The sequence below is a fragment of the Homo sapiens genome, chromosome 19 (assembly GCF_000001405.40).
Source record: "Homo sapiens chromosome 19, GRCh38.p14 Primary Assembly".
NCBI lineage: Eukaryota > Metazoa > Chordata > Mammalia > Primates > Hominidae > Homo > Homo sapiens.
The window spans coordinates 16,821,794-16,845,070 of NC_000019.10; the positions used below are offsets into that span (position 1 = coordinate 16,821,794).

Below are 23,277 nucleotides of genomic sequence, written 5' to 3' on the forward strand. Positions count from 1 at the left end.
GTCTTGCTCTGTCACCCAGGCTGGAGTGCAGTGGCATGGTCTTGGCTCACTGAAACCTCCACCTCCTGGGTTCAAGCGATTCTCCTGCCTCAGCCTCCTGAGTAGCTGGGATTACAGGCGCCCGCCACCACGCCTGGCTAATTTTTTTTTTTTTTTTTGAGTAAAGATGGGGGTTTCACCATGTTGGCCAGGCTGGCCTCGAACTCCTGACCTCAGGTGATTCGCCCACCTTGGCCTCCCAAAGGGCTGGGATTACAGGCGTGAGCCACCGTGCCGGGCCAGGATGCAGGGTTTTATCAGCATGGTGTGAAAGTGACCTCTGGTTGTCCTCACTGCTCATTATACACTAATTATAATACATTAGCATGCTAAGAGACACTCCCACCAGCGCCATGACAGTTACAAATGCCATGGCAACTTCCAGAAGTTACCCTATAGGTTCTAAAAGGGTAGGGACCCCTAAGTTCTGGGAAATCTTCGCCCCTTTTCTCAGAAAACTCATGAGTAATCCATCCCTTGTTTAACCTATAATCAAGAAATAACTGTAAGTATATGCAATCGAGCAGCCCATATCACTGCTCTGCCTGTGGAGTAGCCATTCTTTTATTCCTTTACTTTCTTTTTCTTCATTTTTAAAATTTATTTTTATTTTTTGAGATGCAGTTTTGCTCTGGTCACCCAGGCTAGAGCGCAATGGTGCGATCTCGGCTCACTGCAACCTCCGCCTCCCAGGTTCAAGTGATTCTCCTGCCTCAGCCTCCCGAGTAGCTGGGATTACAGGCGTCCACCACCATGCCCAGCTAATTTTTGTATTTTTAGTTGAGACAGGGTTTCACCATCTTGACCAGGCTGGTCTCGAACTCCTGAACTCAGGTGATCTGCCTTCCTCGGTCTCCCAAAGTGTTGGAATTACAGGCATGAGCCACTGCACCTAGCCTTTTTTCTTTTTTTTTGAGACAGGATCTTGCTCTGTTTCCCAGGCTGGAGAGCAGTGACACGACCATGGCTCACTGCAGCCTTGACTTCTTGGACTCAAGCAATTCTCCTGCCTCAGCCTCCCAAATAGCTGGGACTGCAGACGTGCACCACCACGCCAGGCTAATTTTTTGTTTTGTTTTGTTTGTTTGTTTGTTTTTTGTAGAGAAAAAGCGATCTGTCTGCCTTCGTCTCCCAAAGTGCTGGGATTACAGGCGTGAGCCACCTGGCCTCCTTTACTTTCTTAAACTTACTTTATGGACTTGTCCAGAATTCTTTCTTGCATGAGATCCAAGAACTCTCTCTTGGGGTCTGGATGAAGACCCCTTTTCGGTAACAGTTTCCTCTTCCCCAAATGAAAGAGGGCCTTTGCTGATCATTTGAGAGAAAACAAATTTGAGTAGAAGCCACACTCCCTGTGGGGAGGGGCACACTGTGGGACAACTCTGTTGGCCCTCAAGGACGATGACTAATAGGTTGCTGATGTCAGAGGCATTTGAACCAGAGCAACAACATCTTGAATAGGGGCTGGGTAAAATAAGGCTGAGACCTACTGGGCTGCATTCCCAGATGGTTAGGTCATTCTAAGTCACAGGATGAGTTAGGAGGTCAGCACAAGATACGGGTCATAAAGACCTTACTGGCCTGGCGCGGTGGCTCATGCCTGTAATCCCAGCACTTTGGGAGGCTGAGGTGGGTGGATCACCTGAGGTCGGGAGTTTGAAACCAGCCTGACCAACATGGAGAAACCTCGTCTCTACTAAAAATGCAAAATTAGCCGGGCCTGGTGGTGCGCACCTGTAATCTCAGCTATTCGGGAGGCTGAGGCAGGAGAATCACTTGAACTGGGAGGTGGAGGTTACAGTGAGCCAAGATTGCGCCATTGCACTCCAGCCTGAATAACAAGAGTGAAACTTCGTCTAAAACAAACAAAAACAAACAAACAAAAAAAACCTAGCTGATAAAATAGCCTGCAGTAAAGAAGCCAGCCAAAACCAAGATGGAGACAAGAGTGGCCTCTGGTTGTCCTCACTGCTGTACTCCTACCGGTGCCATGACAGTTTACAAATGCCATGGCAACATCAGGAAGTTACCCTATATGGTCTAAAAAGGGGAGGCATAAATAATCCACCCCTTGATTAGCGTATCATCAAGAAATAACTGGCCAGGCGCGGTGGCTCATGCCTGTAATCCCAATACTTTGGGAGGCTTTGGTGGATAGATCATTTGAGGTCAGGAGTTTGAGACCAGCCTGGCCAACATGATAAGACCCCCGTCTCTAATACTAAAAATACAAAAATTAGCCAGGCGTGGTGGCACGCACCTGTAATCCCAGCTACTTGGGAGGCTGAGGTAGGAGAATCGCTTGAACCTGGAAGGCAGAGGTTGCAGTGAGCTGCAATCGCGCCACTGCACTCTAGCCTGGGCGACAGAGTAAGACTTCGTCTCAAAAGGAAATAACCATTAAAATGGGCGGCCAGGCGCTGTGGCTCACACCTGTAATCCCAGCATTTTGGGAGGCCAAGGTGGGCGGATCACGAGGTCAGGAGATCAAGACCATCCTGGCTAACATGGTGAAACCCCATCTCTACTAAAAATACAAAAAAAATTAGCCAGGTGTGGTGGCAGGCGCCTGTAGTCCCAGCTACTCGGGAGGCTGAGGCAGGAGAATGGCATGAACCTGGGAGGCGGAGCTTGCAGTGAGCCACGATGGCGCCACTGCACTCCAGCCTGGGCGACAGAACGAGACTCTGTCTAAGAAAAAGGGCAACCAGCAGCCCTGGGGGCTGCTCTGTCTATGGAGTAGCCATTCTTTAGTCCTTTACTTTCCTAATAAACTTACTTTCAGTTTACTGTATGGACTGGCCCTGAATTCTTTCTTGCGTGAGATCCAAGAACCCTCTCTTGGGGTCTGGATTGGGACCCCTTTCCCGTAACAGTGTCAGAGGTGTTTGAACCAGAGGAACCCCGACTTGAATAGGGGCTGGGTAAAATAAGACTAAGACCTACTGCACTGCATTCCCAGATGGTTAAAGCATTCTTAGTCACAGGATGAGATAGGAGGTCAGCACAACATACGGGTCATAAAGACCTTGCTGATAAAACAGGTTGCAGTAAAGAAGCCGGCCAAAATCTACCCAAATCAAAATGACCTCTGGTGGTCCTCACTGCTACACTCCCACCAGCGCCAAGACAGTTTAGAAATGCCATGGCAACGTCAGGAAGTTACCCTCTATGGTCTAAAAAGAGGAGGCATGAATAATCCACCCCTTGTTTAGCATATCATCAAGAAATAAATCATAAAAATGGGGAATAAGCGGCCCTCGGGGCTGCTCTGTCTGTGGAGTAGCCATTCTTTGTTCCTTTATTTTCCTTATAAACTTGCTTTCACTTTACAGACTCTCCCTGAATTCTTTCTTGCGTGAAATCCAAAAACCCTCTCTGGGGGGTCTGGATCGGGACCCATTTCCTGTAACACTGGGAGGCTTTGGTAAGAAACGGACTGTCCAGACATCTGGTGGCCACAGAGTGTTCAGTCTGCCTTCGCTGCTCTTCCTGGCTGGGAGCCACAAATCTTCCATGCTTTACTTTCTAAATACCACTCCCTTCCACCCACCGCTCTCTACTTCCACTGCTCCCATCCTGGTCTAAGCCACCATCGTCCTTTGCCTAAATGATGAAACAGCCTCCCTCCACCCTCCCTGGCTCCGCTCCAATCACTTTCCTGCAGAGCAGCCAGAGTGATCACTTTCAAATGCAAACCTGAACTTGCAGCTCCTCCGCTCAAAGCCCTTGGATGGTTTCCACCAGCGTGAATGCTAAAGCCTGAACTCAGTGCATAAGGTGCTGTGTGTTCCGCTCCTCTGGCTGCTCCGGGATTATCTTGTACTCTCTTTCTTCCCCTCCCTCTCTGCAGCCTGGGAAACTCGTCTTAAAAAAAAAAAAACTCTTGAAATGTACCATGCTGTCTCCCACCTCAAAAATCACAGCTGTTCGTGATTTTTCTCATGATGAATGCCTACGCATTCTTCAGATCTCAGCTAGAATGCCACCTCCTCTGGGAAGCCTCCCTCATCTCCTGCAAGACTGGGTTAGGTTTCCCTAGGTAACAGGTGGTATTTTCCAAAAATAGCCACAACATATTTCCTGTCCCACATGATACTCTTGGCCATTTGCCCTCCTCTTGAATTTAGGAAAAACTTTGTAACAGCCTGTATGGAAAGAATGCAATGGAAATGATTCTGCGTGACTTCCGAGTCTGGGTGAGAAAAGGTAATATGGGAGCTGGGTGCAGTGATGCATGCCTGTAGTCCCAGCTACTCAACAGATTGACGTGGGAGGATCCTTTGAGTCCAGGAGTTTGAGGCCAGCCTGGGCCAGCCTGAGACCCTGAGTCCCACCCCAACCCCTGCCATCTCCGGAAGAAGAAGAAGGAGAAGGAGAAGAGGAAGAAGAAGAGGAAGAGGAAGAAGAAAAAGAAAAGATGATATGATTCCCACCTGGCTCACACGCTCACTTGTTCTTAGAACGGTAGTTGTGAAGAAGCTCAGGCTGCAAGGAGACCACATGTAGGTATTCCAAGCAACGGCCCCAGCGAGGGTCTCGGCCTGTAGCCTGTAGCAACTGACATACATATGTGTGAGCAAACATTCAGGTGATTCCAGCCCCCAGACTTTGAGCCACCCAGCTGATGCCAAGGTTGAGTTATTCCTCCCAAGCCTGCCCAAATTGCAGATTGAAGAGTAAAATGAATGTCTCTTTTCTTTCTTTTTTTTTTTTTTTCAAGACAGGGTCTTGCTCTTGCTCTGTTCCCCAGGCTGGAGTGCAGTGGCGCAATCTCAGCTCATTGCAACCTCCACCTTCTGGGTTCAAGCGATACTCATGCCTCAACCTCCCAAGTAGCTGGGATTACAGGTGTGTGCCACCACACCTGGCTAATTATTGTATTTTTAGTAGAGATGGGATTTCACCATCTTGTCCAGGCTGGTCTTGAACTCCTGGCCTCATGTGATCCACCCACCTCTGCCTCCCAAAGTGCTGGGATTACAGCCATGAGCCACTTGCCCCGTGAATGTTGTTGTCATTTGAAGCTTCTAAGTCTTGAGCTGCTTTTTATTTTCTTTTACAGAAAGCCCAGACCTTACAATGTTTTTATTTTTTCTCTCCATTTTTCTTTCTTTTTAATGTTTTTGTACAGATGGGATCTTGCTATGTTGCCTGGGCTGGTCTCAAACTCCTGGCCTCAATGCATGCCCCCACCTTGGCCTCCCAAAGTGCTGGGATTGTCAAGGGCTCATTTGTTACACAGTCATAGCAACAGAAATTTAGGAACTGTTACATGTATACCTTCTCTTTAAAGTATTTGTTACATGTGAAACTTTACATTTGTGTGATTACTAGATTCCTGTCTATCCTGAGAGACTAAAAGCTCTTAACGGCCAAATTTGCGTTCCTTTTTACCATTCTATTCCTGACACTTAGCAAGGTGCCTGGTAAATGATGCACTCGATGCCAATTTACTCTCAACTTTCCTGCACCTCTTCACTTATAAAAAGAGAAAGCACTTGGTCATTAATTGAACGTTCACTTATTTGATGAATGCTGACTGAGAGACTGTGTCAGGGATTTGTATTAGAGACGGACACAAAACAAATATGAAATACAAGGGACTGAGGGGAGACATAGAAGGGGACTGGGAACACTTCCTGAGGGAAAGGGATATTTGGGCTGCGTTTAGAAGGATGTATAGGTGTTTTCTGAATAACAAAGAGGCATGACAGTACTTCTGGCAAAGGAAATGGTGAGTGCCAATGCTTGGGACCAGGAAGCAGCCAGGTTGGTCAGGCAATTGTGTGAAGTTCTGCACAGAGGCAGGCAGTTTGCTTGGAAAATCCTGCAGGAAAAGGTTCCTAAGGACCAATTCTGACAGCCTGCAATGTAGGTGCTTAGATTTCATCTCATTAGAAATAGGAAGACCTTGGAGGTTTGGAAGGAGTGGTGGAAAAAGTGGAGTTTTTTGTTTTTCTGTTTTTTTTTTTTTAAGAGATGAGATGCTCTTTAAAAAAAAAAAAAAAAAAAAGCACTGCTATGCTTCCCAGGCTGGGGTGTGCAGTGGCAAGATCATGGCTCACTGCAGCCTTGAACTCTTGGGCATGAGCAATCCTGCCTCAGCCTCCCGAGTAGCTGGGACTAAACGTGTGCACCACCACGCCCAGCTAATTTTTTCATTTTATTTTATTATTTAATTAATTAATTAATTAATTTTTTGAGACAGAGTTTTTGCTCTTGTTGCCCAGGCTGGAGTGCAATGGCGTGATCTTGGCTCACTGCAACCTCCGCCTCCCGGGTTCAAGCAATTCTCTTGCCTCAGCCTCCCGAGTAGCTGGGATTACAGGCATGCGCCACAAAGCCCGGCTAATTTTGTATTTTTAGTAGAGACGGGGTTTCTCCATGTTGGTCAGGCTAATCTCCAACTCCAGACCTCAGGTGATCTGCCCGCCTCGGCGTCCCAAAGTGCTGGGATTACAGGCGTGAGCCACGGCGCCCAGCCAATTTTTTCATTTTCTTTTTCTTTTTTTCAAGGCCCGGCTAATTTTTTGTATTTTTAGTAGAGACGGGGTTGCACCGTGTTAGCCAGGATGGTCTCTATCTCCTGACCTCGTGATCCGTCCGCCTCGGCCTCCCAAAGTGCTGGGATTACAGGCGTGAGCCACCATCCCCAGCCTAGAGTTCTTGATAGTATCAGGGCTGAGAAAGTACCAGAGTTAGAGCCAGGTGGGGTGGCACTAAAAGTACAAAAAATTAGCAGGGCGCAGTGGCGGGCGCCTGTAGTCCCAGCTACTCAGGAGGCTGAGGCAGGAGAATGGTGTGAACTCGGGAGGCGGAGCTTGCAGTGAGCGGAAATCGCGCCACTGCACTCCAGCCTGGGCGACAGAGCGAGACTCTGTCTCAAAAAAAAAAAAAAAAAAAAAAAAAAAAAAAGAAAGTACCAGAGTTAGGAGGCTCCTAAACTGGTCCAGATGGGAAGTGACGGGGCCAAGGATAGGGAAGTGAAGATGGGAGGAGTAGGACTAACTTAAAGGCCATTTAGCAAAAATTCACCACGCAAGGCCCTATATTAGGGCGCTGGGGGCTCATACCTCATCGTCCCGTCAACTCTATAAAGCAGGGGCCAACAAACTTTTTCCATAAAAGGCCAGATCGTAAATACTTCAGGGTCTGCAGATCTGTAGGATCTTTAGCAACTACCTACTCTGTTGTAAGGCGAAAGCAGGCAGAGAAGCCAGGTAAACGCGTGGGCGTGTCTGTGTGCTAATAAAACTTTATTCAGGGACCCTCAAATGTGAATTTCACAAACTTTTCACAGGTCATAGACTATTCTTCTTTGGATTTTTCCCCCGGCTATGTAAACATGTAAAAATAATTCTGAGCTTGCGGGGCCGGACAAAGTAGGCGGCGGGTCTTGGCTCGCCTACCCCTGCTATATAAATCATTAATTATGATACCAATCTTAAGGAGAAGGTCTTCAGAAGAGTCCCTCAAAGAGCACCGCCCCTCAACGTCATCAAACCCCGCCTCCAAAGGCGGAGGCTGCGCATGCGCGGCAGGACCTCGGGCGGGGGCGGGGCGGGGCGCAGCTCCGACTTCGGACATGGCGCACGCTGGCGGTGGCAGCGGTGGCAGCGGTGCCGGCGGCCCCGCGGGCCGGGGGCTGAGCGGCGCCCGCTGGGGTCGCTCGGGCTCCGCAGGCCACGAGAAGCTGCCGGTGCACGTGAGTGGCGTCCCCGCCCTCCCTCGGGGAACCCATCTTCTGGACCCCGCGGGCGGGCGCCCCTCACCCAGGCCCCGCCCGGCCCCAGCCCCACCTCGGCCTCCCCTCTGCACTGCCCCGGACCCCTCACCCCTCACCTCTCACCTCGGCCCTCCGAAAGCCCAGCCCATCCCCTTCCCCTCAGGGACCCCGGCCCCTCGTCCCCTCGTTCCGCGGCCAGGGCCCACCGGGACCCTCCCCCTCTCTGCAGGTAGAAGACGCCCTCACCTATCTGGACCAGGTGAAGATCCGCTTTGGCAGCGACCCTGCCACCTACAACGGCTTCCTGGAGATCATGAAGGAGTTCAAAAGCCAGAGGTACCAGCGGGGCCCCTCTCCACCTCAGGGGACCCCCCTGGGCCGGAATCGGGCCTAGCGGGGTGAGACCTCCCCTCTCCAGCCTGCCCCCTTAGCCGGGTGACCTTGCGCAGGTTGTCCAATCTCTCAGAGCCCTAGCTCCTTCTCGTAACAAAAATGGAAATGGGTAGTACCCACCTTGTGGAGCTTTGTGGGGATTCCTGGAAGCAGGACAGGGATCTGGGGGGAGGCAGGGAGGGCGAGGCCGTGCACACTCATAGAGTCAAATCCTGCCTTGATTTAATATGTTGATTTTTATATTAGTTTTGTTCATGAAAGATTTGGTGGGACCCATTTTGATTTTTATTTTCAAGCGCTGTAAAATGTTATTGTCTTGATGATTGAAATTTTTGGCACCCTCTTCCCCTTTAATCTTGTCCTCAAGATGCTTCTCTGGGCTCACTGTGGTCCCAGGCCTGCTTGGAAGTAAGACGCATAAAATGCTTAGTAAGGGAGCTGGCACACAGAAAACGTTTAAAACACATGAGATGATTTTGCAGGCCCAGAATCAAGGAAGATTACAGATAGATGGGAAACCCTGGGATCATGCCCTTGTTTTTATAGGAGACTCACTGAGGTTTGGAGTGGGTAAGGGACCCACCTAAGTGGCAGAGGTGTCACTAGAACTCAGACCCTCTGACTCAGATTCTTGGAAGTCACATGCTTACCATACTGCTGCCCCCTCTTAGGAAACATGGTGGGGCTGGCCTGGTTTCCTTCCGGGAGCCCAGTGCTAAGGGCTGGGCTGCAATGCAGCCAGAAGGGAGACCCCATCTCTCCCCTCCTATTTTTCTTACACCTTTCCCATTCTTGGCAGTACCATTGGTATTTATGCATTGCAATTGTTTGCTCAGATGGAAACCTGTGTCATAGTCATCTCTATCTGATACAAAATGAGGGAAGTTTTCACATTGCTTAGAGGACTTTGGCCTCCTGCCATTTCTTGGAGTCCAGGCCTTGCGGTTGGCTCTCCTGACATTTTCAGAACCGAGTACCCATTCTTGGAGTGTTTTAGGGGAGCTGAGCGATGTCAGTATTCTCTGGTTCTCACCAGGAGGGAACAGGGAGCTCAGGCCTAGCCAGTCAGGAGATAGGTCATGGTGTACAGATGCTATCACATGGGGGCACTTTTTTTTTTTTTTTTGAGATGGATTCTCGTGCTGTCGCCCAGGCTGGAGTGCAGTGGTGTGATCTGGGCTCACTGCAGCCTCCGCCTCCCGGGTGCAAGTGATTCTTGTGCCTCTGCCTCCTGAGTAGCTGGGACTGCAGGCACGCACCACCACTCCAAGTTCGTTTTTGTATTTTTAGTACAGACAGGGTTTCACCATGTTGACCAGTCTGGTCTCGAACTCTTGACCTCAGGTGATCTGCCTGCCTCGGCCTCCTAAAGTGCTGGGATTACAGGCATGAGCCACTGCGCCTGGTGGGTCACATTTTAGGTTCCTTTGTTGTCTGTTGAGAAGGTTTTTATGTGGCAGTATCAAGGGAGTGGGGAATAGATTATATTTTTCATTTATTTCCCAAGACCCTTTTGCCCACTTCCGTTGTTTCTTCTAGCATCGATACTCCTGGAGTCATCAGACGTGTCTCGCAGCTCTTCCACGAGCACCCTGACCTCATTGTTGGATTCAACGCTTTTCTTCCCCTCGGATATAGAATAGACATTCCCAAGAATGGCAAGTTAAACATACAGTCGCCTCTGACAAGCCAGGTATGCCACTACAGTGGTTCGGGTGATCTCAGCCTTCACCGAGTATGTCTTGCTACTCAGGTTGGGCCACGTGTCTCTCCTGTATCATTGCTAGAAAGCCACTTAAGATCTGTTCTTTTTCTAGACGTGCTCATTGCTTCTAGCACAAATCAAAATAGATATGGAAACACCTACACAAGCAGCCTCTGCCTCCCAAATTGATCTGTTTGGAAGATTTAAATCAAGAGTGGATGTCAGGGAGGTATCCTCCTAACGCAGAATTTTGTGTGAAGTCTAAATAACCACCTCAGCAGTTGCTGAGGTCTTGGCTTGAGGCTTTCCCAGCGAGCATACCAGGCAGGCTTGCCCTTGTATTTAAGCATGTCCTCGTCTGCCTCTGATCACTCTCAGTACCACCTACAAAATAAAGTGGTCGAGATGGTGTGTGAGTAGCCACGTTTATGTTGGCTGTGTTTCATTTAATTGTTGATAGGATCATTAGCTCAGCTGGGACTCCTGGCTTTGCTTTGGTCCCTTTTTTCTTGGGTGATAGGTGCTGGCCCTCTTTTTTTTTTTTTTTTTTTTTTTGGAGACGGAGTCTGGCTCTGTCACCCAGGCTGGAGTGCAGTGGCGCAATCTCAGCTCAGTGCAACCTCCGCCTCCCAGGTTCAAGCAATTCTCCTGCCTCAGCCTCCCGAGTAGCTGGGATTACAGGTGTGCACCACCATGCTTAGCTAATTTTTGTATTTTTAGTAGAGATGGGGTTTCTTCATGTTGGCCAGGCTGTTCTTGAGCTCCTGACCTCAAGTGATCTGCCTGCTTCAGCTTCCCAAAGTGCTAGGATTACAGGCGTGAGCCACCGTGCCCAGCCTCCTTTTTTTTTTTTTTTTTTAAGACAGGTTCTCACTCTGTTGCCCAGGCTGGAGTGCAGTGGTGCCATCATATCTCACTGCAGCCTCAACCTCCTGGGCTCAAGTGATCCTCCCGTCTCAGCCTCCTAAGTAGCTAGGACTACAGGCGTGCACCACCACGGCCAGCTAATTTATTTATTTTTTTTGTAGCGACAGGGTCTCACTATGTTGCCCAGGGTTGGTCTCGATCTCCTGGCCTCAAGCGATGTGCCCACCTTGGCCTCCCACAGTGCTGGGATTACAGGAGTGAGCCACTGTGCCTGGCTCACTGCCCCTTCTATCTCTGCAGTCTCTTCATGCTTGAGCTTACTAGCGCCTCTGAGAAAAAGAAAGCCTACTTAAGATTTCCTTTTATAAGATGACCATTGTCATTTTTTCCACCTCAACACTATTTCCCATTTAAGGCATAATTCTTTGCTGTTGGGGGCTTCCCAGTGCATTGTGGGGTGTTTAGCAGGATCTGTAGCGTGTACCTACCAGACCTTCACTCAGTTCTGACAGCCAGAAATGTCTCCAGACATTGCCAGGTGTCTCCCTGGGGGGCAAAAGTGCCCCTGTTGAGAACCACCGGTGTAAGTGGACCAGCTCTCCCAACCTCCTCCAGTCCTTGCCTCGAGAGTTTTAGCAGGGAGTGTCAGAATCTACTGCTGGAAGCACTTGGTAGGTCTTCTTTGATGGAAGAGATGATAGAGCGTCCAATCAATTAGGGATCTGACACTCCGCAGTCAGTTGGAAAGAGAACAGCGAAGGGTAATGTGGCAGTGCTTTTGTATTAATTCCATGTGCAAGGTGTGTGTCAATTCTGCTGCTTCTCGGCCAGGCGCAGTGGCTCACGCCTGTAATCCCAGCACTTTGGGGGGCCGAGATGGGTAGATTACAAGGTCAGGAGTTCAAGACCAGCCTGGCCATCATGGTGAAACCCTGTCTCTACTAAAAGTACAAAAATCAGCCAGGCGCAGTGGAGCATGCCTGTAATCCCAGCTACTTGGGAGGCTGAGGCATGAGAATTGCTTGAACCTGGGAGGCGGAGGTTGCAGTGAGCAGAGATTGTGCCACTGCACTGTAGCCTGGGTGACAGAGCAAGACTCCGTCTCAAAAAAAAAAAAAATTCTGCTGCTTCTCTGTGCAAGACCCTCTCTGCCATCAGCCTGTTGTCTCCTGAAAGCCAAGGAGCGAGTCTCAGGGTTTTTTTTTTGCCTTTTTTGAGAAGGAGTCTCGCTCTGTCACCCAGGCTGGAGTTCAGTGGCGCAATCTCGGCTCCCTGCAACCTCCACCTCCTGGGTTCAAGAGATTCTCCTGCCTCAGCGTGCTGAGTAGCTGGGATTACAGGCACGCTTCATCATGCCCGGCTAATTTTTTTGTATTTTTAGTGGAGATGGGGGTTTCGCCATGTTGGTCAGGCTGGTCTCGAACTCCTGACCCCGTGATTCGCCCACCTCTGCCTCCCAAAGTGCTGGGATTACAGGTGTGAGCCACCGCACCCAGCTGAATCTCAGCTTTAAAGGGGAACTTGGAAGCGTGTGGCCACTGAACTCTGAAGAGCCTTCCATTTCCTGTTTGCAAATGAAGCCCCAGGATCCAGATGTACTGCTTGTGTCTTAGACCATGAAAGCCTTAGCAAGACTGATCTCCAGAACAGTCACGACTGCGGGAGAAAGCCAAGCTCATTTGCAATAGCAGCGTCCACCAGAGCACTTTGCAGAGCCTGAATGCTGTGGAAACTCTGGGTCTCGTTCCTGTCACTCACTCAGAAAGAGCCAGAGTGAAAAGATGTGAACTGTGCGTCCTGCATGTGGAAATTGCCTTTCAGCAGAGTCCCTGCCCGTGGAGTAACTCGGCTTTCAGGGCTAGATCTTGACAGGCGCCACACTGGTTGTATTTGGAGTTGGCTCTTCCTTTAAGTAGCTGCGGGTCCCCAACCGTGGAGGGCTGGCAGTCTTGTCTCCCCGTAGGTGGCTTAGGTGACAATGATGACGGTGCAGACCCATCGACTTGGGGAAAGGCTTGAAAAGAACTTTCACTTAGTAGCTACTCAGCAGGGCCTTGGTCATCGTGCTGCAGCCTGGGAACAGTCATTTCCAGGCTTAGGTGTAGAAGTTTGTTCTCTTCGGGGGCCCCTGGGAGCCCACTGGCTTCCAGTTGATATTGACACAGGTGCTGTCAGGTTTCCAGCCCTGTTTCCCAGCAGTCTGGGCTGTTGTTTGTGTGGCTTCAGGACAGAAACATGAGAGATATCCCAGGTCCAGGCCATGACTCGCGTGGCTTCAGGAGTCCTTTGAGCTTTCGGCTCCCTGGAGTCCTTTGAGAGGCCATCGTCTGAAAGCCTCACAGGGTTTCCCACACACAGAGGCCCTGGTGATATTCTTTCTTTCTTTCTTTTCTTTCTTTTTTTTTTTTTTTGTGACAGAGTTTCAGAGTTTCGCTCTTTACCCACGCTGGAGTGCAATGACACAATCTCGACTCACCGCATCCTCTGCCTCCCCAGTTCAAGCGATTCTCCTCCCTCAGCCTCCTGAGTAACTGGGATTACAGGCATGCACCAGCGCGCCCGACTAATTTTGTATTTTTAGTAGAGACGGGGTTTCTCCATATTGGTCAGGCTGGTCTTGAACTCCCGACCTCACGTGATCTGCCTGCCTCGGCCTCCCAAAGTACTGGGATTACAGGCATGAGCCACTGCACCTGGCCATCTTTTTTTTTTTTTTTTTTGAGACAGAGTCTCGCTGTGTTGCCCAGGCTGGAGTGCAATGGCACGATCTTGGCTCGCTGCATCCTCTGCCTCCCGGGTTCAAGTGATTCTCCTGCCTCAGCCTCCTGAGTAGCTGGGATTACAGGTGCCTGCCACCACTATCAGCTAATTTTTGTATTTTTAGTAGAGATGGGATTTCACCATGTTGGTCAGGCTGGTTTCGAAATCCCCTGACCTCATGATCTGCCCACCTCGGCCTCCCAAAGTTCTTTTTTTTTTTTTTTTTACTTTAATTGAATTATTTTTTAATTTTGAGACACCATTTCACTGTCACCCAGGCTAGAGTACAATGGCGTGATCTCAGCTCACTGCAGCCTCCGCCTCTGAGGTTCAAGTCATTCTCCTGCCTCAGCCTCCCAAGTAGCTGCTATTACAGGCATGTGCCACCACACCCAGCTAATTTTTGTATTTTTAGTAGAGACAGGTTTTCACCATGTTGGCCAGGCTGGTCTCGAACCCCTGACCTCAAGTGATCCCCCACCTCAGCCTCCCAAAGTGTTGAGATTACAGGCGTTAGCCACTGTGCCTGGCCTTTTTTACATTTTTAAAACAGAGACAGGGTTTCACCATGTTGTCCAGGCTGGACTCAAGTGATCCTCCTGCCTTGGCCTCCCAAAGTTTTGGGATTACAGGTGTGACCCACCACGCCTGGCCAGTATTCTCTGTTGCTTAGTTTTTCTAGTTTGACTGTTTTGAAGTATCTTTTTCCCCCCCCAATTTTATCACAAAGCCTGCCAGCTACTGACAAGTAGGGAGTGGCCCATAGGTGGTAAGGAAGGTGAATAAGAGAGTCCCAGCCTCGGGCAGCCTTTGGCGCAGGGTGTCTTCAGCTTTGGGGGCCAGACTGTTCTTTATGGCGAGGTGCCGTCCTGCACACTGAAGGGTATTTGAGCAGCCTCCCTGGCCTCCACCCACCAGATGCTTCTAGATGTGATAACCTAAAGTGTCTCCCGTGTTGCCGAGTGTCCCCTGGGTGGCAGAGTTGCTCAGGTTGAGAACACGAGTCTAAAGGGGAAGACAGACACAGGCCGTGGTGTGTGGCCAGTGACGACCTGGGGAATTTGGAGGAAGGAACAGCTTCTTACTGGAGCCTTGCCTTGGCCTCCTGAGTCAGCATCATTTACTGTCTGGTAATTCAGGCCTTGGTTGTAATGTCAGCTCCACAGAGAGCCCCCTAGTCCCTACCCTGTGTCATTCTTACACCACCCTGGGTTATGTATTTCAAAACGGCTAGGAAAAGAAGTTCAGAATGCATTGTTTCTTATTGGTTTTCCTTCCTTGGTTGACGGTGAGTCCTTAAGATGAGGTGGGCCCTGCACTGTCTTGTTCATGACTGTATCCACCTTCTGGAACGTCGCCAGGGAGCAGTGCATGGTGCAGGAATGAGAAACTGGATGCTGGTGGGAACATGGCCGCTCTCAGCTAGCGGGTCCTCTTCAGGGCAGACCCTGCCTCGTGGAAGATGACAGCTGGCTTGGACAGAGACAGAGATAACCCCTTAACGTGCAGCTCCTAACTTAAGCAGCCCCTCGACATTCAAAGGGAGCCCCCTGGCTGTTCTCTGGGGGAAGTCCCGCTAGTTGTCAACAAGTCGATTCTTGTGTTTGTATCTTCTTGGCTCATGGAGCAGGCGGTGACCCCTTCTCCGAGCCAGGCCCTGGGGTTTATTCAGAGGCCCTGCTTTCAGGGTTCCTGCACAGTCAAGGTGGGGGGTCCGATGAGAAACAGATGGGCAGATGCGGGTGGCGCATGGGAGAGGGCAGAGAGAGGATGGAGCAGGCCAGGGAAGGGTGGGAGGAGGTTGCTGTGGGCAGGACCTGTTTCATGAGGGACTGTTCCTGGTGGGGAGTGATGGCCTGAGGTGAGAGTGAGTGGGTGTGCTTGAGGAACAGCCAAGGAGAACGGCAGGGTCAGGAGCTGAAGGAGAGAAGGGGGAGAGGGAGCCAGGAGCGTGAGAACCACTGGATGGTTCTGGGAGGCGGTTCTGCTGCTGTGCTGAGAATGAGGGGTCAGGAGGCCCCTGGGAGACCAGGGAGGGGCCCCAAGTGATGGAGGCGGGGTAGACAGTGATGGAAACAGAGTGGATGGTGACAAGGACCAGAGAGGGTCCCAAGTGATGGGAACAGAGAGGATGGTGACAAGGACCAGAGACAATTCCCAAGTGATGAGGACAGAATGGATGGTAACAAGGAGTAGGGAAGGCCTCCCGAGTGATGGGGACAGAGGTGGACAGCAATGGCGACAGAGTGGATGGTGACAAGGACCAGAGACAGTCCCCAAGTGATGGGGACTGAGTAGACAGTGATGAGGACAGAGTGGATGGTAACAAGGACTGGAGAGGGATCCCCCGAGTGATGGGGACGGAGTGGACAGTGATAAGGACCAGAGAAGTGCCCTGAGTGATGGGGACAGAGTGACTGGTGACAAGGACCAGAGGGGGTTCCCATGTGATGGGGGCAGAGTGGATGATGATGTAGATCAGGAGCGGGGGTGTCAGTGAGAGTGAGAAGTCTGGGCTGATCTCAGGATGCCTGATTCTCTGGGTAAAAGTGTGGGCCCCTGCTGAGGTGCATAAGGCCAGGGCAGTTGGGGGGCTGCTATGTGTCTGTGCGGTGCCTGCCATTTGAGGCTCTGTTAATCAGTACCCAGGCGGGGCTGTGTGTGGATGCTCAGATGGACGTGTCGGCCACGCAGGATGGTTGTCATGGTGTGGGAGGCAGTTCGAACTCTGCCTGATGAGGCCACCCAGGGCACGGGGAGAGAGGAGGTGCCGGAAGAAAAAGAAAACTGGGCTTGTGCTGGGTGGTTTAGAGCAGCACAGTCGGCAAATGGTAGCTTGGAGACCAAAGCCAGCCTGGCTCGGTGTGATTGGTTGTGATTTTTACATTTTCAAAGGATTAAATTTTTAAAAATGTTTCATATTGTGATACTGTTCACATAACATAAAATCATCATCATTTTAAAGTGTTAGTATATTCACAATACTGTACAACCATCACCACTAATTCCAGAACATTAACATCACCCCAGGATCAAACCCTGAACCTCCTAATTCTCCTCTCCCCAAGCCCCTGGCAACCATGAGTCTGCTTCCTGTCTTTATGGATTTGCCCGTATGGACATTTCATATCAGTGGGGTCATACACCGTGTGGCTGTTGGTGTCTGGCTTCTCACTCAGCATCGTGTTTTCCGGGGTCATTCACATCGGAGCCGGTATCAGTGCTTCCTTCCTTAAGACTGAATCATTCTCCACTGTATGGCAGGACCACATTTCGCATGCCCACTCTTCTGTTGATGGATGTTTGGCCTGTTTCCACCTTTTGGCTGTTGTGCATAGTGCTGCAACGAACATTCATGTGTGAGGATGTGTTGGAACACGTGTTTTCTTTTTCTTTTTTTTTCGAGACAGAGTCTCGCTCTGTCGCCCAGGCTGGAGTGCAGTGGCGGGGTCTCAGCTCACTAAAACTTCTGCTTCTCAGGTTCAAGCAATTCTCCTGCTTCAGCCTTCCAAGTAGCCGGGATTACAAGTTCCCACCACCACGCCTGGCTAATTTTTTTGCATTTTTAGTAGAGATAGGGTTTCACCATGTTGGCCAGGCTAGTCTTGAACTCCTGACCTCGTGATCCGCCATCCTTGGCCTCCCAAAGTGCTGGGATTACAGGTTCCAGCCACCGCGCCTGGCTTTTTTTTTTTTTTTTTTTTGAGATGGGGTTTTGCTTTTGTTTCCCAGGCTGGAGTGCGGTGGTGCATTGTCGGCTCACCACAACCCCCTGGGTTCAAGCAATTCTTCCTCCTCAGCCTCCCAAGTAGCTGGGTCTATAGGTGCACACCACCACACCTGGCTAATTTTTGTATTTTTAGTGGAGACGGGGTTTTGCAATGTTGGCCAGGCTCGTCTCAAACTCCTGACTTCAAGGGATCTGTCCACCTCAACCTCCCAAAGTGCTAGAATTACAGGTGTGAGCCACTGCGCCTGGCCTGAGCCACTGTCCCTGGCCTGAGCACCTTTTTTCAGTTCTCTTGGTTATAGACCTGGGAGTGGGATTACCAGGTCATATGGTAGCAATAATTCCATGGTCAACCTGTTGAGGTAACTGCCACACTGTCCCTCGTGGTGGCTGTACCGTCCCATCTGGCTCTTTTTGCCAAGCCCTGGTCTAGAGCGTGGTTCCCCATTTTGTCGCAGTGGCACACTTTAGGGGATCAGAGGGTGCATGCGGAGCTTGGAAATGCCTCCTTGGAATGGTGGGGGGCTCGCAGTGAGCCTACAGCTGCCTCTGAAACAGACCTTGGCTCCATGCTGCTTCCCTACATACCCACACCCTGCTCGTTCCGACCCCTTCTGCCATCAAACCTGTGCACCATGGAGAAACAGACGCAGCCCCCTGTGAGCCTGAGCAGAGAATCATTCCGGACATCCCCAGAGAATCTTACAACAAACCCCGCCACTGACTGGGCGCAGTGGTTTACGCCTGTAATCTCAGCACTTTGGGAGGCCAAGGTGGGCAGATCACTTGAGGTCAAGCGAGACCAGCCTGGCCAATATGGTGAAACCCCATCTCTACTAAAAATAGAAAAATTAGCCAGCGTGGTCGCACGGCACCTGTGATCCCAGCTACTCAGGAGAATCACTTGAACCCGGGAGGCAAAGGTTGCAGTGAGCCGGGATCATACCACTGCACTCCAGCCTGGGAGACAGAGCAAGACTCCATCTCAAAACAAAAAGAACAAATCCCGCCACCAAGGAGAAATTGTTTTAGAATCGTGGCTGCTCTGCGTCTTGTATTTCTGCTTTTCTCAGCTGAGACTTTCTAGAATTGTCTCTGTACCCATTGTTCTGGGCAGAATTGTGTCATCCCCCCACCCCACATTCCACCCCAAATTCATGTATTTTAGCCCTAGCCCCAGCGCCTCAGAACGTGACTGTATTTGGAGATGGAGCCTTTGAAGAGGTGATTTAACTGAGGCCGTTAGGGTAGGCCCTAATCCAGTCTGATTGGTGTCCTTATAAGAGAGGAGATTGGGACACACATCAGGGACATGCGTGCACAGAGAGAAGACCACATGAGGACACAGACAGTGGCCACCCACAAGCCAAGGAGAGAGTCCTTAGAGAAAACCAAACCTCCTGGCACCTTGACCTTGGCCTCCTGGCCTCCAGGCCTCCAGAACTGAGAACTACTAACTTCTGTTGTTTCAGCCAGTCTGGGGTACCTCGTTGTGGCAGCCTGAGCTGATGGATGCACTCACCCCACTGACGGTGCCTGTGCCCAGCAGAGGTACCTGTTTCAGTACAAGACGGTAGTGGTGTGCCTGGCCTTGCCTGTTGCAGTAGATTTTCAGGGTCAGCGTTTGGGTCACCTGCAGTGTTGGGCACTGCAGGGCAGCGGAAACAGTGAAGTCTGTGTGTCCCTTCATCCGTTCACCTGATCATCCCCAACAGTGGGTGAAGCTCACTCTGTTTCTCACACTGTTCTGGGCACTGGGGATACAGCCCTGATCAAAACCCCCACCCTCGTGGAGTTCGCCATCTAGTCAGGGACTGGCAGACAGTGCAATGAGTAAAATACATGATCCATAAGGTGGTGACGGGCCGCGGAGAAAAATGCAGGAGTGCTAGGAGGTGGCGTCATTTTACTTTGGTGAAAGAGCGTTCTCTAGGACTCACCAAGCAGGGCTTATCCAAGCAAAAACCTCAGCCAGGCTGGAGGAATCCTGACTGGCTGGAGACCCAGCCCTTGTGTGCTGGGGATGGTGCAGCATAATTCTGGTTTAGAAACAACAGCTCCTCCTCTGGGGGAGTGGTCCTGTCCCACCACAACATGGGAGGGAGGCAAGCTTCTTTCTATTTTTGCTCATATCGGCTGAAAAGTACACGCATAGAGGGCATTCTTGGTGGGTGTTCAGGGCCTGTCTTTTCTCCCAAGCGACCGATGCACCTTATTGCGATTGGCCTGGGTCTTAGCACCAAAAATGTCATGTCCCTTGAAGTCCCCAACAACCTGGACAGTGGGTCGCCTCTAACCTCCAGGGTCCCCATCTTATATATCCTACCTTGGCATCACTGCTGGCAGCAGTTGCCTTTCCACGTGAAAGCAATCTTGCTGAAACAGATTGCAGGAGGCGTGGGAGACTTCTCTATTATATGCAGCCCAGCACTTGGCACCACAGAGGCTTAAACATCCACTTTGTACATTTCTCCTGAATGTGAAGTTTTCCAAATGCAAGGTGCTCGTTGAACTTGTTGTGTTCCTTGAGTAGATTGGTAAGGATCGGGTGGAGGTGAGCTGGGAAGACTCACCTGTGCACCCCGCCCTGCTTGCCTCCAGGCTCTCAGAAGTAACCTTTCCCTGTCTCTAATACAGCTTGGCTCCGTGCTGAGTTTTTTCTGTTCCTGTGCAGACAGTGGCTGGGCCTGGTGTTTTTCACAATCTGTTTCCAGTGTCGGGCCTGGCAGTAACTCATTGTCGCCTTGTCAGGAGAATTCGCACAACCACGGGGACGGTGCAGAGGACTTCAAGCAGCAGGTGCCGTATAAAGAGGACAAACCCCAGGTGCCCCTGGAGTCCGATTCCGTGGAATTCAACAACGCCATCAGCTATGTGAATAAGATTAAAACCCGCTTCCTAGACCACCCAGAAATCTACAGGTCATTCCTGGAGATCCTGCACACGTACCAGGTAAGAACTCAGATTACAATTCCTTGTGGGTTTTGGATTTCATCCAGTTTGGGGCCCTGCAGATATTCAGATTTTCTTGTCGGAATTCATAAAATCCTGTAAAATTCTAATTAGTTGTGGGGTTTTTTGTTTGTTTTTTCTTAGAGTCTGGCTCTGTTACCCAGGCTGGAGTGCAGTGGCACGGACTCGGCTCATTGCAACCTCCACCTCCTGGGCTCAAGCCATCCTCCAACTTCAGCCTCCCAAGTAGCGGAGGCTACTTGGGGCTAGAACATGGGCGCACATCACCACACCTAGCTAATTTTTGTAATTTTTGTAGAGACAGGGTTTTGCCATGTTGCTCAGGCTGGTCTTGAACTCCTGAACTCAAACGACCCATCCACCTCAGCCTCCCAAAGTGCTGGGATTACAGGTGTGAGCCACCGTGCCCAGCCACCTTTTTTTTTTTTTTTTTTTGAGACAGGGTCTTGCTCTGTCACCTAGGCTGGAGTGCAGTGGTGTAATAATAGCTCACTGCAGCCTTGACCTCCTGGGCTCAAGCGATCCTCCTGCCTCAGCCCTCCAAGTAGCTGGGAGTACAGGTGTGTGTCACCACACCTGGCCAAGACAGTCTTTTTATCAGATGACTTTGTTATTGCTTAGGCAATACGGCCATCCTTTACTTTGCTGATTACAACTGGGCCCAGCACCAGGAGCTGGGGCTACAGAGACAAATGGCTGCTCCTGCTTAGCTGTTCATTGCAGTGGTGGGAAGAAACTCAGAGGTGGATTGGGGTGGAAAAGAAAGGATGTGGGCAGGAGAGGTGAGTCAGGGTTAATATGATTCCCAGCCCGGTTCCCAACCCGTCCGGGGCCAGGGAGGGGACAGTCAGGTTGAATCTTGACATATCAGTCGGAACCAGTAGGCAGGTTAGCCTGGAGGAAGGGTGGACATTCTTGGTGCCAGGAATGGCCTGTGCAAAGGTCCAGAGACCAGAGCAGACAGCGGCATCAGGGCGTCTGCAGGGGACTTGGGCAATGCAGGTGGGCTGGTGGCGAGGGACATCTGTGTCGTGAGTGGGGCTTAGACGTCCTCTTCACCCAGACGTGGAGTCTCTAACGCTTGGAATTTTTTTTAGCAGCAGAACCCATTTTTTTTCTTTTTTTTGAAACAGAATCTTGCGCTGTCACCCAGGCTGGAGTGCAGTGGCTCAATCTCAGCTCACTGCAACCTCAGCCTCCCGGCTTCAAACAATTCTCCTGCCTCAGCCTCCTGAGCAGCTGGGACTACAGGCATGGGCCACCACGCCCAGCTAATTAGCAGAACCCATTTTTTAAAATGAAATCCCTGCAGCCTTGACATGTCGAGTCAAGAAGCGGGATTCTTTTCAGCATAAGCGTTTCAGATCAAATGGATAGAATTTGTGTTCTGGGAACTCCACAGCATTTGTTGTCCACCGTGCTGGCATCATCATGGGCCTTAGCATCTGTGAGAGGCTGGTACAGCCCTAAGAACGCTTGTTTGTCATGGATGAGTGGTTGCCAGTGGCTGCTGTGAGCATCTGGTCTGTGTGGAGGGATGTGCTTGTGATCGTAGAATCTGTGGGCCCCTCCCAGGCTTTGTGGGGTCATCACATTTAGGAAGGCGCATCAGAGCAGTCTGTGCAGTGGCTCTGTTCTGTGGCAAAGGAAGGGGCAGGTTAAAGACACTAGAGATGAATTTAGACAAGGTCACAATGAGGGGTTGCCACAGACTCCTTCAGAGAGAGTGCCATGGGAAGGGACAACGCAGTATCCCCCAACCCAAACCGGGCTGCTGAGAGTTGGTTGAGAATGCAGACACCTGGCCACCATGCAGGATTCCCATTCATCAGGGCCCGCCCGGCATCGGCACAGTTTCTTTTTTTGTTTTTATTTTTTTGAGACTGGGTCTCACTGTTGCCCAGGCTGGAGTGCAGCGGCATCATCACAGCTCACTGCAGCCTCTACTTCTCTGGGCTCAAGCAATCCTCCCACCTCAGCCTCCTGAGTGACTGGGACTACAGGCGCTCACTCCGACGCCCAGCTAAGGGCTAAGAGGAGACGGGGTTTCACCATGTTGCCCAGGTGGGTCTTGGAACTCCTGGCCTCAAGTGATCCACCCACCTCAGCCCCCCAAAGTACTGGGATTACAGGCGTGGGCCACCATACCCAGCTGGATGGCATCTGCATTTTAAACAAGGCCCCTGGTGACTCCAGCCTCAGGTTGTCTAGTTTTTTCAAATGTAAGTTTGAACTGTTGTGTAAATTATCCTGGTTTTAGAATGTTGGTTCAGATATTTCAGGGATACTGTTAGAGCCAAACCAGGCAGCTCCAGGGTCCATCTGGCCGTGTGTTACTGTTTCTCCATCTTTGTGGGGCTTTCCTTCAGACTTTCTCTCTGCCACCTTCTCCCTCGGGGTTCTTATCCGTAAAATGGCCACAAAACTGGTGGTGCCAATGAGCCTGGGTTCAGTGAGGTTAACTGAGCAACCAGTTCAGGCACAAGCCTGCCTCAGGTCACCCCTGGGTAACTGTCACCCATTACACAGCCACGTATGCATGTCCTGTGTGTGCTGGGATGAACAGTTAGTCCTGCCCTAACATAAGTGGGACCCTAAAAACGAGCTCCCTCTGCAGAGTTGCAAAGTGTGATGGGAACTGCAGGTTCATGGGAAACAGACTCAGGGTATGACATTCAAAAACTTCCTCAGGGACACCTAGAAAAAGATAGGCACCGACTCTAAACAGCAGCGCCGTTACGCGCATATTAAGTGGCCGAGAATTACATGAATGCCACAGCAAATCGGGTACTGACCTTGGAAGAGACCTGAGGCTGGTTTGTGGATCTGGTGGCAGCCTGTGAATTATGTGAAGGCCGGGAGGAGGTCATCTGAAATCAGACAGGTCATTGTGGCCTCAGATGGGGACAGGGCTGGCCCCTAGCACAGGGGAACGCTGAGAGAGTGCATGGACATGGGAGGGGGTGCTGGCGTGGTTTTGCATACTCCCACGGGGTTCTGGTCAGCCGGGAGCAGTTTCTGCATTCACCTGGTGTTTCTCCTGCACAAAATAGAAGAGAAGCAAACAGAAAATTCACCTCA

The 23,277-nt window shown here is 50.7% G+C and overlaps 1 protein-coding gene across 2 annotated transcripts in view, besides 5 other annotated features; it reads left to right on the top strand.

Moving 5' to 3' along the window:
* Positions 3,537–4,214: an enhancer, noted in NCBI's record as "OCT4-NANOG-H3K27ac hESC enhancer chr19:16936141-16936818 (GRCh37/hg19 assembly coordinates)". NCBI's record gives its function as "activates a minimal SCP1, AML or CMV promoter by ChIP-STARR-seq in naive H9 embryonic stem cells {active_cell/tissue: H9 hESC(naive)}" and the evidence as "EXISTENCE:reporter gene assay evidence [ECO:0000049][PMID:30033119]".
* Positions 7,331–7,832: an enhancer, noted in NCBI's record as "H3K27ac hESC enhancer chr19:16939935-16940436 (GRCh37/hg19 assembly coordinates)". NCBI's record gives its function as "activates a minimal SCP1, AML or CMV promoter by ChIP-STARR-seq in naive H9 embryonic stem cells {active_cell/tissue: H9 hESC(naive)}" and the evidence as "EXISTENCE:reporter gene assay evidence [ECO:0000049][PMID:30033119]".
* Positions 7,573–7,752: a silencer, noted in NCBI's record as "silent region_10315". NCBI's record gives its function as "represses an Ori minimal core promoter by ATAC-STARR-seq in GM12878 lymphoblastoid cells {active_cell/tissue: GM12878}" and the evidence as "EXISTENCE:reporter gene assay evidence [ECO:0000049][PMID:35858748]".
* The window catches only part of SIN3B (SIN3 transcription regulator family member B), a 50,952-nt gene continuing 35,279 nt past the window's right edge, over positions 7,605–23,277 (top strand). For both annotated transcript variants that reach the window (NM_015260.4, NM_001297595.2), the window contains exons 1-4: positions 7,605–7,747; positions 7,998–8,104; positions 9,701–9,854; positions 19,975–20,175. In NM_015260.4, coding sequence (NP_056075.1) covers positions 7,628–7,747; positions 7,998–8,104; positions 9,701–9,854; positions 19,975–20,175 — 582 coding nt within the window. In that variant the 5' untranslated portion in view covers positions 7,605–7,627. The remainder of the gene's footprint in view (positions 7,748–7,997; positions 8,105–9,700; positions 9,855–19,974; positions 20,176–23,277) is intronic.
* Positions 12,468–12,557: an enhancer, noted in NCBI's record as "active region_14248". NCBI's record gives its function as "activates an Ori minimal core promoter by ATAC-STARR-seq in GM12878 lymphoblastoid cells {active_cell/tissue: GM12878}" and the evidence as "EXISTENCE:reporter gene assay evidence [ECO:0000049][PMID:35858748]".
* Positions 14,857–15,358: an enhancer, noted in NCBI's record as "H3K27ac hESC enhancer chr19:16947461-16947962 (GRCh37/hg19 assembly coordinates)". NCBI's record gives its function as "activates a minimal SCP1, AML or CMV promoter by ChIP-STARR-seq in naive H9 embryonic stem cells {active_cell/tissue: H9 hESC(naive)}" and the evidence as "EXISTENCE:reporter gene assay evidence [ECO:0000049][PMID:30033119]".